Source organism: Homo sapiens, chromosome 14 (assembly GCF_000001405.40).
Source record: "Homo sapiens chromosome 14, GRCh38.p14 Primary Assembly".
NCBI lineage: Eukaryota > Metazoa > Chordata > Mammalia > Primates > Hominidae > Homo > Homo sapiens.
Window position 1 is genome coordinate 77,080,905 of NC_000014.9, and position 13,320 is coordinate 77,094,224.

Genomic DNA, 13,320 nt, shown 5'->3' on the forward strand with positions numbered 1-13,320 from the left:
AGGCTGAGGCACGAGAATCCACTCCAGGAGGCAGAGGTTGCGGTGAGTCGAGGTCACACCATGGCACTCCAGCCTGGGCAACAGAGCGAGACTCTGTCTCAAAAAAATAAATAAATGAAAATAAAAAATAAATTAATTAATTTAAAATTAATACATTGCAAAATTCATAGATCCTTGTGAAGTATAGTGATTTATCACTGAAGATTTAGAATAATGGGTAAAGAAGAGCTACTTACGTATTTACTTGTTTATTGTGTAATCAATGCACATGAATATTTTTTTCTAGCTGCCAGGCATCATTTCTTCTATTTTGATCCAGTAACTATCTCTTCATAACTTCATATCTCCCACCATGAGAAAACAAGAGCAATACATCCTTATGTTGGCTAAATACAGGACAAATAATATTATTCTTTTAAGAACACCATGCCAGTGTTCTATCACAGCCTTTACTTGCCTTTGTTGCATGCTATTACTGAATGTTTACTGAAGCTTTCTCTCCATTCTAGAAATTGCAGGTCGTGTGGAAGTGACGTTTCGTGTTCTTTTAATAGAGATCCTGTGTTTCTGGTCCCAGATACTCTCTGTGGCTAAAGCTAATGTTGAAACAGAGATGTTTAAACAAATAGCAGTAGTAACAAAACACTTTGGTTTTAAACTAAGAATATACTTAGACCACAAAAGCAAGTTTCTACAGGTTTTTTTTTGTTTTGTTTTTGTTGTTGTTGTTTTGAGAGGAAGTCTCGCTCTGTCAACCAAGCTGGAGTGCAGTGGTGCGATCTCAGCTCACTGCAACCTCCGCCTCCCAGGTTCAAGCGATTCTCCTGCCTCAGCTTCCTGAGTAGCTGGGATTACAGGCATGTGCCACCATGCCTGGCTAATTTTTGTATTTGTAGTAGAGATGGGGTTTCGCCATGTTGGTCAGGCTGGTCTCGAACTCCTGACCTCGTGATCCACCTGCCTTGGCCTCCCAAAGTGCTGGGATTACAGGCGTGAGCCACCGTGCCTGGTGGGAAAGGGACTTTCTCGGGGGATTCCAGCTTGTAAGTGGCAGGGCCTGGATTCGACTAAGACCTTTAATGCCACATCCTGAGCTCTGTCCACCATACTGTGAAGTCTACTTTTAGGGCAATCCCATTTCTATCTTTGTCTTTTGTGTTATCTGGATTGAAAGAGTTTAATTTCTGTGTGTTTATTTTGGAGTAGGGTGCAGTGGATGTTTCTTAGCACCTACAGAGAAAATTCTTGTATAGCAAGAAGTCCATTTGACAAAGCACTGTTAAATTTTGGACTACAACCATTGCAGATTTCTCCCAGGATTGCGTTCTCACAGATTGCCAATGAGATGAGAGCTTTCATGCATTATGTTTCTTATGCAAATAAGTTGACTTCCTTTTCAAGTTATATGAGAAACCCCCACTATTCCTGGGTTTTATGAATTATGGGATGGAGTGTACAAAACATCACCAACCTTCTCATTTCTGTCCACCCAAGTATTGTTAAGTATTTGCATCAATTGACATAGTTTTGCTATCTTGAATTGAAGAGGGTTTTGAGTTTTATTTGTTTGGTTTTGTGGGAGTTGTTTTGTTTGGGTTCAGAGCTCTCTGGGGAGAAAGATAAGTGTACTGGAAGGTATTGATGAGCTGTTATCTTCCATGATGGTTTGAGAGACTCATTTCCAGCCCCTGTGAGGGAAGCGTGAGGGGCGATAAATGGAAAGAGGAGTAACTGTGTGAGGCTTTGTGCAACTAAAGATATATGCAGCTTTGCTTCACAACACACTTAACGAAGTGCAGCCAGTCTGTGAGAGGTCCCTGCTGCCCTATCCCACCCTCCACTTTGGTGACCTGCTGGCTTAGAGTGGCCCCAGGAGAGAAGGGAGAGAATGCTGTTCCCAGCAGGGCAACAGGAGTGACCACTGCAAGAACAATGTTCTTATGGAGGCCACAGACACTGATGAGGTACCCCCTTTTAAGGAGCTTGTGAATAGCAGACCAGGAATGGGGAGGCTGAAGGGGAAGAACATAGTGGATTTGCCTATGAACCTATGGGAGATAGTTCGGGGGTCTCCCAGAAATAACTAAGGGTGAGTTAGCAGGGCGAGGGGATGGCTAGCAAGTTCTATAGACCTTCAGTAGGAGACCAGAGCTAATGAAATTTAGGTCTGGATGTCAATATGACCTCCTTGGTTAATATGACCCATAGGCTGGTAAAAATCTCTTACAGGATGTTGTGAGACACTGTACTTTATTCCTGTCTTTCATATGTCATTTAACTTCAAAAATTCTGTCTTCAGTGAAGACACCATGAGAAATGCTTACAATGCAGACTCTTTCCAAGTGCAGTTATCTGGGGCAGGCCGCCCGATTCGCTGATTGCCCTGCCCACCTCCACCCTTCTAGGGAAGGCTCTAGTGGGAGGAATCTCTTAGAAACTGTTCATAGTGCAGCAGCTAGAAAAGTCTAGCTGCAGGGTTTTGGGGTGAGAGGAAAATAGTTTCTTTTCTATGCTAGGGTAGTGAGCCAGATATGACTTGCTAAAAAACCTCTGAGTGACTAGGGTATTAGGCCAGATTTTCGCTATTTTAACTGAAGTTGAAACGAGAGGAAATACGGTGTAAACTGCAGCATAAAGGATTTAGATTCAAGCAATAAAGGATTTCCCAACATCAAAGGGCAACAGATCTCTGCTCTGGGTCCATCATTAATTTTTATTTTATTTATTATTATTTTTAGAGATGAGGTCTTGCTATGTTGCCCAGCCTGGTCTCAGACTACAGGCATTCACCACTGCATCCAGCTTTTCCTTCCTTCCCGCCTTCCTTCCTTCCTTCCTTCCTTCCTTCCTTCCTTCCCTTCTTCCTTTTTTTCTTTTTTTTTTGACAAAGTCTTGCTCTCTTGCCCATGCCGGAGTGCAATGGTTTGATCTCACCTCACTGCAACCTTCGCCTCCCGGGTTCAAGCGATTCTCCTGCCTCAGCCTCCCAAGTAGCTGGGATTATAGGCGGCTGCAACCATACCCAGCTAATTTTTGTATTTTTTAGTAGAGATGGGCTTTCACCATGTTGGCCAGGCTGGTCTTGAACTCCTGACCTCAGGTGATTCGCCTGCCTCGGCATCCCAAAGTGTTGAGATTACAGGCGTGTGCCACCATGCCTGGCCAACACCCAGCTTTTTCTAGGCCTTTTTTTTTCTTTTTTTTTTTTGAGACAGAGTCTCACTCTGTCACCCAGGCTGGACTGCAGTGGCGCAATCTCGGCTCACTGCAACCTCCCGCTCCTGGGTTCAAGCGATTCTCCTGCCTCAGCCTCCCGAGTAGCTGGGACTGCAGCTGTGCGCCACTGCACCCAGCTACTTTTTTTTTTTTTGAGATGGAATCTCACGCTGTTGCCCGGGCTGGAGTGCAGTGGTGCGATCTCAGCTCACTGCAACCTCCGCCTTCCAGGTTCAAGCAATTCTCCTGCCTCAGCCTCCCAAGTAACTGGGATTACAGGCGCCTGCTACCACGCCCAGCTAATTATTTATTTTTATTTTTATTTTTTTAGTAGAGACAGGGTTTCACTATGTTGGCCAGGCTGGTCTTGAACACCTGACCTTGTGATCCACCTGCCTCAGCCTCCCAAAGTGCTGGGATCACAGGCGTGAGCCACCACGCCCGGCCTTTTTTTTTTTTTTTGTATTTTTATTAGTGACGGGGTTTCATCATGTTGGCCAGGCTGTTCTCGAATTCCTGACCTCAGGTGATCCGCCCGCCTCAGCCTCCCAAAGTGCTGGGATTACAGGCGTGAGCCACTGCACCCAGCCCTAGGCCCATTTTTAAAGGTAAATAGAGAGCCCTCTCTTGTTAGCCAACCTTCCAGATCTAAATGGCTAAGTGTCTCTTCCTGATCTCCCATCCTTTACCTAAACTAACTGATCTCCTATTTGTGTTCCCAAATCTTTCTTATAGCACTTATAAAACCATTCTGGGAACTCCTTAAGAGAAGAGACTGGGCCTTATATATGCTTTACTGTGCTCCTAACCCTTGGGAGGGACACAGTACACAGTAAATGTTGGTTAGCTTGATCGTAAGTGAAAAACTGACTTGAGACAGGAGACTGTGGCAGTACTCATTAGAGCAATCTGTGTAGCACTTTTTTGAGCTTCATGTGTGGAATGGGGCTGTGAAGAGCTAGGGAGAAGTGGTTATGAGGATGAAATGAGGAAGCTTAAGGAAAACGTCTGTACAATGTTTGGTCTCACACAGTCCCCTTCTACCCTTTGTCCTCTTCCTTCTAGCTGACATTGTATTGGGAAGCAAAGGTCAGGGGCTCTGTGTGAAGGCAAGAGGTCCAAATGATTTCTCAAGGGATCTAAGGGAACTGGACGGCGGAGAAAACGATCAAGGGGCAGGCCCTGCACAGGGACTGGGAAGGCAAGCAGAGAAACTAAAGAGCGCTAGCCAAAATGGTGGAAGAGAATTCTGGGGCTGTGGCACAACTATCCACAAAAGCTTCCTCTTTCCTTAGTGGAGTCTCAGTACAGTTCACTCAGGAGGAGAATCTAACGAATAGGCACCAGCTGCATCAAGGGACACTTACTTCACTCCATGTCCTGGCACCTTCCTGAGGATGAAGATGCCACAATTCACCAGATGAGTCAATTCACGGGAAAGGCGCTAGTCAAGTCCCAGGCTCTGTCTAGCAACTGTCTTTCCAGTGGAAAAGAAGTTAGCTGAAGTAATCAAAGGATTCCCTAACGCAAGAGTTGGGACATGCCAAAGTCCCTCTTCAAGGGGAGAGAGGCAGCTGCATGGTTACAAAGTAGACAAAGAAAGACAAGGGGCTTCTTTTAAACTGGAATGTGTGAAATAGAAGCAGGGAGCTGTGAATGCCACAGCAGCAATTATGCAGAAAGACTGCAGTGCAGACACTGAGCAGCACCATCCTATCTGATAACATCAGCAGCGGCAGAGGCATATTCCAACAAGAGCTGTTTAAGAGCTGCTAATTACTTAGATTCCAATAGGAGCTATGTCTTAAAAGTGATTACAATTTTTGATTACAGCTTTTTGAACTGATTGCAGCTGTAAGCTATGAAGGCAGTAATCTAAATACAAGCAAAAATTCCTTTGATCAAACACAAAGGAACTCTTCCAAATAAAGATACCTTTATTTTACATACATATATAGCTATGTGTTTCGCATGCGTAAACAAGTGAGTTATACACATCTATTAAACATATAACCATCTACACTAAATTTTAGGTTCCCTGAGACCAGGGACCACACTTGTGCATCCTTATAATTCCTTACAGTGTCTAGTAGGGTATATGGCACATAGAAGATGCTTACTGAATTGAATGAAAGTGAAACAATTGCTGTATTAATGATTTGATCAGATAATTGTTGTTTGTTACAATAATGGCCTACTATAGAATAAATACTGGGAAAAGCAATACAAAAGTCCATTTTACTAACCTCAAATCCAGGAAATGTACCTTCTTTTCTAGAAACCCAAAAGAAGTATGGAAATACATTCTTGAAAAGAAAGCTAACCACTCTACATTCCACAACAGAGACCATGTTGACTGTGCTGTGTGAGTTGCTAGGCAACCACTTGGTAATTCCCCATGTAATAGAGATGAACCTATCATCTGCTTTCTTAGCTATGTGTGACAAGAAGAGACAACAGGTAAAGGACAACCAAGAATACCTGCACCTGGATGACACAGTCACTCCTGCTGAAGTATGGTGACACCGGAGAAAATCCCCATGCCCTGTCAGAAATTGCTGGAGGGAGAATTTCAATTTCATTAAACTATTAGCACAAGACATTGCAGTGAATTTTCTTGGATTTACCTTGTGGGTAAATCCTGTGGGTTATCCCATTATACTTGTCCACAAAGCAGGAGGCCAAACGTACCATCGTTCTGCATGGGAATGGCCATCAGTTCAATAACAGCTCCAGATCAGCGTGTCCCGTGATGCCAGCTGGGATGAGACTTTACTAGAAAAAAGCAGCCCTTTAAATCTTAAAAAGGATACTCAACATCTTAAAGAAACCCCAAGTTCTGGGTGAATAAATCACCCTTTTTCATACCTGAGGAAAATGCTCATTTGTTTGCACAGGATTTCCAAGACACTTTAGACACATAAGCTGCCTTGTAACGACTCCGCTCAACTGTAGGTATTGACATCACTGTCTTTAGGCTAAAAACACAATGTTGGAGAATGAATAAAAAAATGTGTGAAAGCTACTCTGATGTTAAGCAAGAAAAAGAGAGCAGGCCAAGTGCAGTGACTCACACCTGTAATCTCAGCACTTTGGGAGCCCAGGGAGGATTGATCGCTTGAGCTCAGGAGTTCGAGACCAGCCTGGGTAACATGGCAAAACCCCGCCTCTATAAAAAAAAAAAAAAAAGTTAGCCAGGCATGGCGGCATGAGCCTGTGGTCCCAGGTACTTGGGAGGCTGAGGTGAGAGGATCACCTAAACCTGGGAGGCAGAGGTTGCAGTGAGCCAAGACTGCACCACTGCACTCAGCCTGGGCCACAGAGTGAGACCCTGTCTCAAAAAAATAAATAAATAAATTTAAATTCCACTGCAAATTTGGAAGTGTAAGGGGACTCATCTTTTTCATTTGAATTTTCAAAAGGACCTCCCCACACACACAGATTAAAAAAAAAAAAAAAAGAATATATGCCTGTAGGGGCCAAGGGAAAACATCCCCATCATCCTTAGGAGGTTTGCTGAAAATCTCTGACAAGGGGCAGATTAATTGGAGAGAAGGCACACGAATTTATTTAACATGTGTACACAGGAGACTTCAGAAAGACGACCCAAAGATACAGGGAAAATTGTTCATTTTTGTGCTTAGGTCCAAGAAAGTATGGACAGCCAGGCAGAAATATGATTGGACAAAAAAGACTGTGATCAAATGCTACCAGACTGAGTGGGGAAACCCAGCGAGCCTTGTTTGTCTAGATTTTTCTCAGCCTCTCTGAGCCTGCACTCCTTCCTTCTGGGTATGGGGCAGGACCCTCTCTGGAATGGGGGCTCTTATGAGCTATAGTCAAACAAGGTAGTCAGGTAATTTCTTTATGGACAGTTTTTACACAGCAAGGTGGAAGGAAAATTATTTTTAGGTTTTATGGTTTGGAGAAAAGGGGTTCTGTTTCTCTGACCCGCCTTGGGGAAGAGGGATTCTAGTTTCTATGGCTGGCCTGGGGACAGAATGGGATAGAGAGACAGGAGGGCAGGAGAAGGTCAGAGAAAAACTTTTGCTTTTGAGGCTGCTTTCTGAGGCCTTCAGTTTGGGGTGTTGTTTTCTGAGTCTCAACATGCCCCATCCCCACCGCAATATTATATTTAAGTCTTTGCAAATTGACTGCTTGCTTTTCAGTCTCCTGTTTGAGATTTAATTTTGAGACCTTAGACTCTGCAATCAGGCAATTGGCTGTGAAGAAAGCAGATTCTGAATCGAGATAAAATCAACCAGGTAGTTCTGACGAACAACTGGGCGTGGCTTCAACCCAACATATGGAGCCTGTTTAACCTGTTTTGGTGCTGACTTAAACAAGCCCAGCTGGCCAATCCTGTGAAGTGAAACTTGACAAAGGCCCATCCAGACTCCCTGGGGCTGGAGAGAGGAGTACTGGCATATGACATTCTTGGGTATATCTCGGTCTGCAAAGTACAGCCACTATATCTCTACTGACTACTAGGTTTTATAAGATTCTTCATGGAATTCCAAATAGAGTCAGCCATGAGCCAAATCAAACATAAAGGAGGAGGATTCAAGAGCATTCTTGAGTAAATTTCAGAATGGAAAAGACCCTCCAATGACTCAGAGGGGTGGGAGGAACAATGCAGGCTCTGGGATTTCTTTGCCAGAATGACAAGTGTAGAGCAAAACCTGTGGGAGTCACAGTTACTTTCATTCCTCCTTTCCCCAGTGGCCATACACAGGTGTGTGCAAAAGGCCTGGAGGTGGCAGAGAGTGGAGCATGTCAGGGAACTGACAAAAGAATAGGGACGAGCTCCTGTGCACCTGTGCCCACGGAAGCTACTCACTCCCCTCCTTCATGGTGTCTTTTCCTTCTCTGGAGTCCTTTCAGTGATATGTGAGCCCACTGTTAAATGTTCAGGAAGTTTGGGTCCCACTGATAGCAAGTTAGTTGAACATCTACTATGCAGAATTTACTTTGTGGGAGAAAACCATTAAGATATAATCCCAGCCCTTAAGGAGTTTAGACTCCAGTGAGGGAGACAGAGAAGTACGCAAGAAATTACAAAACAAGCCAGTCTAGATCAAGCTACAAGACACAAAGTACTCAATTTTTGTAAATAATTTCTATATGGAGGCTATTCCTAATCTTGGTCTTTGTAGTCAGCTTCCTATTACTGAAGCAACAAGTTCCACTAAAGAGCTCCAATTCCATTGGGCTTTCTGCTGTGGTGGTCTGTGTTCCCTGTCTTTTGTTAATCCCATGCTGGTGAACTCAACTGGGATCCAAAGGCTGTTGACAGAAGGGAGGTAAACCTATGAGGCAAGATATGAAGCCAAGGCAAACCTCCAAGCCAAAAATCAAATGCTTCCACACAAAGGGGCAAGTGAACAGCTTTCTGGGTGGCCTAGAGAGAGAGAAGGTGTGAGTTTAAATCAAAGACTTCAAAGCCGGGCATGGTAGTTTGTGCCTGTAATCCCAGCTACTTGGGAGGTTAAGGCGAGAGGATCATTTGAGGCCAGGAATTCAAGACCAGCCTAGGCAACATAGGAGGGCCCCATCTTTAAAAAATAATTAGCTGGGTGTGGCAGCATGCACCTGTAGTCCCAGCTACTTGCGAGGCTGAGGCAGGAGGATTGCTTGAGCCCAGGTCAAGGCTGCACTATTGCCCAGGTCATGCCACTGCACTCCAGCCTGGGTGACAAAGAGACTCTCATCTCAATAAATAGACGACTTCGTATTTAGTTGGGGAAGGAGTATAGGGGCAAAGAGAAACCTTCCCCTTCGACCTCTGAAAGTTTGCCAAAAAAATCAGCTCACAAAAGAAGATTAGAGAAAGGGCGTACAAATGTATTAATGTGCAAACAGGGAGAACCACAGAGTGCTTACCCCACTGCCCAATGGGGTCCATATAGCCTTATTTCAGGTGGAGGGGGGAGATAGGGAATACAGGTAATTCTGTTGATTGGCAATAAATGGTTGCTAGGGAGAATGAATGGATTGAGGAACAGAGATTAATTTCTAAATGGTTGTCTGAGTGAGTCTGCAAGAGAGACATCATCTTGTGAAAGAGTCTGTTCAGGTGTGGTTACATTCTTGGTCTTTTCTGCAATAGATAATAAGAGGAGGAAGCCAGGCACGGTGGCTCATGCCTGTAATCCCAGCACTTTGGGAGGCTGAGGCAGGCAGATCTCTTGAGGCCAGGAGATTGAGACCAGGCTGGCCAATATGATGAAACCCCGTCTCTACTAAAAATACAAAAATTAGCTAGGTGTGGTGGTGCATGCCTGTAATCCCAGCTACTCAGGGGGCTGAGGCATGAGAATTGCTTGAACCCAGGAAGATGGAGGTTGCAGTGAGCCAAGATCACATCACTGCACTCCAGCCTAAGTGGCAGAGTGAAACTCTGTCTCAAAAAAAAAAAAAAAAAAAAAAAAAAAAAAAAAAAAAATTCAAGGTGGCTCACGCTTGTAATCCTAGCACTTTGGGAGGCTGAGGTAGGTAATCATTTGAGGTCAGGAGTTCAAGACCAGCCTGACCAACATGGTAAAACCCCGTCTTTACTAAAAATACAAAAAACAAAAATTAGCTGGATGTGGCGACACACACCTGTAATATCAGCTACTCGGGAGGCTGAGGCAGAAGAATTGCTTGAACCCAGGAGGCAGAGGTTGCAGTGAGCTGAGATCATGCCACTGCTCTCCAGCCTGGGTGGCAGAGCAAGACAATGTCTCAAAAAATAAACGAAAAGAAAATAGATAATAAGGGGCAGGGGCTGGGAAACAATTGTTCTCCTTGTAGGGTCTATCCAATCTTTATGTAGATAAGGGAAAAGTCTTTTCCAACATCTGTTGATCTCTAAGGGCTTTTAACTCAAAATACTCATTATATCTAGGAGCCATATTTTAGGGTGAAGTTCCTTATGCTCTTTTGGGGGAAATACTTTAAAAGTCTTTCCACTAAAAAGATTCAGGATGAGGGTCTAACAGGTACAAGGCAGCTTCTGAATAGTTTGGGCAGGTATGTGGGTTGAAATCAGCATACAACACACACACACATACACACACACACACTCACACACACACCTCAATTATCTCTATGATGTACAGAGAAAAAGATGACCAGCTGGAGGCATTTTCTGTAGTATGCTTTTACAGTGCCCAGCCCCCATTCGTGGCATCCTCCTTTCCACACAAGTGCCTGTTACCTAATTGTCAACTAAAGAATCATGAATTTCATAAATCTGGAAGGGAGAGCTTTATTTCTCATAAAAGGTTGCAGCCTGCAGGCCCACAGGCTGGGAAGTGTAACCTTCAGAAGAAGCTAAGAGCAATCACTTCAAGGGAAGGCTAAAGCAAACAGAAATTTATGCTTAGCTGCATGGCCAAATATATAATATTCAGTCAGCTACAGGAATCATGAATATTTATGAAAGGAGAAACAACCATATATGCAATTGAGCTTCACATTTCTTCCTGAGTCCTATATTCAAAAAAAGTAGTGGTGTTAGCATGGTCCAAGAGTAGAGTTTTTGGCCCTCTTGTAACTGCCCAACAGGTTCTTCTTACCTACTGCACAGATAAAACCAATTCACTGAGACAGCAGTATTGCAGTAGAGAAAGAGTTTAATTATTGCAGGGTTAGCTAAGCAGAAGATGGGAGTTTATTACTCAAATCAGTTTTCCTGAGAACTGAGAGGCAATAATATTATGGATAATTTGGTGGGCAGGGGGCTAGGGAATGGGTGCTGCTGACTGGTTGGGGCAGAAATCATAGGGGTGTGGAAAATTAGTCCTTGTGTGCTGAGTTCTGGGTAGGGGGCCCACAGGACTGGTTGATTCCTGAGTCACAGATCCGATTGAAGTCAATGAGTTGCCAGAATGCAAAAGTCTGAAAAACATCTCAAAAGACCAATCTTAGGTTCTAAAATAGTGATTACCTATAGGAGCATTTGGGGAAGTTACAAATTTTGTGACTTCTGAAACAATGGCTGGTTATCATTTTTATTTTTATTTTCTTTTTGAAACTGAGTTTCGCTCTTGTTGCCCAGGCTGGAGTGCAATGGCGCTATCTCAGCTCATCGCAACCTCCGCCTCCTGGGTTCAAGTGATTTTCCTGCCTCGGCCTCCTGAGTAGCTGGGATCACAGGCATGCGCCACCATGCCCGGCTAATTTTTGTATTTTTATTAGAGACAGGGTTTCTCCATTTGGTCAGGCTGGTCTCGAACTCCCGACCTCAGGTGATCTGCCCACCTCGGCCTCCCAAAGTGCTGGGATTACAGGCATGAGTCACCACGCCCAGCCATGGCTTGTTATCATTTAATTATACATATATTTTAGCAGAATTCAGGTCCATCCCATAATCCCAATCTTGTGGTTTTTCATTACTTTTACCAAAGTGGTTTCGGTCCCTTTTCATTACTTTCACAAAAGTGGTTTCAGTAACCCCCTTCTAGCAAAGAGGGGGTTAGTTTCATGGAGGGCCTATTATCATTCTTGCTTCAAAGTTAAATTATAAACTAAATGCCTCCCATGGTTAGCTTGGCCTACACCCAGGAATGAGTGAGGACAGCCAGCCTATGAGGCAAAACCAAGATGGAGTCAGCCATGTTAGACTTCTCTTACCGTCATAATCTTTGCAAAGGCAGTTTTACTCTGACATCAAAAGGTGAAGCAGAGGACACAAAAATCCTCGCTGCACATCCTCCATGAGTCAGCCAAAACTAGTCCAGCAATGGTGGTCAGTTTTTAGGAAGGGATGCTTTGTGAAACTGGCAAGCTGTCACCCTGAAACTGTAAAGAGGGTGGGGGAGTGCAGTCACTACCTCAGGTGACTGGCTAATAGGGATAAAGGAATGGGGTGTCCATTTCTTGTTTTCTAAAGCTGGTTTCTGCCTACTCTTTAGGAAATAATTCTGGTTAAAGATTAATAAGGAAGGGGCATACTAAGGCGTGTCTGACCTCTCTCCCCATCACGGCCAGACATTCAGTTTTCAGGGTTTCTCTGGGGACTGCTTGGCCAAGAGGGGGTCATTCCAGTTAGCTGAAGGGCTTAAGATTTTATTTTTATTCCTCATAGTGCTTCTAGCTCCCCACTGGCCTCCTCCTTAGCATAGCAGGAAAGGCTGAGATATTACCCATTTCCACTTTAACATGGAGGCTGTCAAGCAAAGTGGCAAGGACTCTGGAATTCAAATCCTGGCTCTACCACTTACCACGGGTGACCTTGGCAAGTGACGTGGGCCTCCATATCTGAGCCTCCTGCTCTGTAAAAAGAAAATAATGATACTACACCCATCTCATAGACAGTGGGAGGATTAAATGAATAAATGTAGGCAAATCACTTAGGACAGCATCTGGCAAATAATAAGCACTACGTGTTGTTATGGAAGAATTTGTCTTGGGTTCTAGAGTATCTTGGTGTCAAGCAATTCCTTAAAGGAATTTCAAGTATCAGCAAGAAGACAGAGGGCTATGTGGGAAGGGTTTACACTGTCTCTAAAATCAAAACCTTCACCTGTATATGAACAGCCTGACCATAACCTGAATATTACCCTTTTAGTGTACCTGCTCTGCCAAATACTTCCCTAAAATATGAGCCAAGAACCAGTCTGGCTGGTGAGGGCCTTGTTACCTGACTGCTAAGGGAAAAAAGGTCATACATCCCACTATCACTGGCCTCTGCCTCTGCCATCTGGCACCTGTAGATCCCCCTGCCCACACAGGCTGGAGCCCCTCTCTTCTCTCACTGACCCATGAGACACACTTACCACTCCATCAAATCCTATTTAAAGACTTATGAAGTGATCAGCACCAATAATGCTAGATGCTAGATTCAAACTACAGGATAACTATTTTACAGACGGCCAAACTGAGGTTCAGGAAAATGAAATCAATGGTTCCCAAACACCAGTCCAAGAACTGTTGCCAGTCCTTGTGGTGATGTTTTCACCAGTCTTCAGCCAAACTGGAAAAATAAGACTAAAAGCTTTAAGTTTTTCATACACCCGAAATTATTCTATTTTTAAATTGTGAGGTTATGTCCTATCTTCCCTTCTGTGTATACGGAAAAGATATCAAAATGACCCTTCTTTTGTAAAATGATATTGA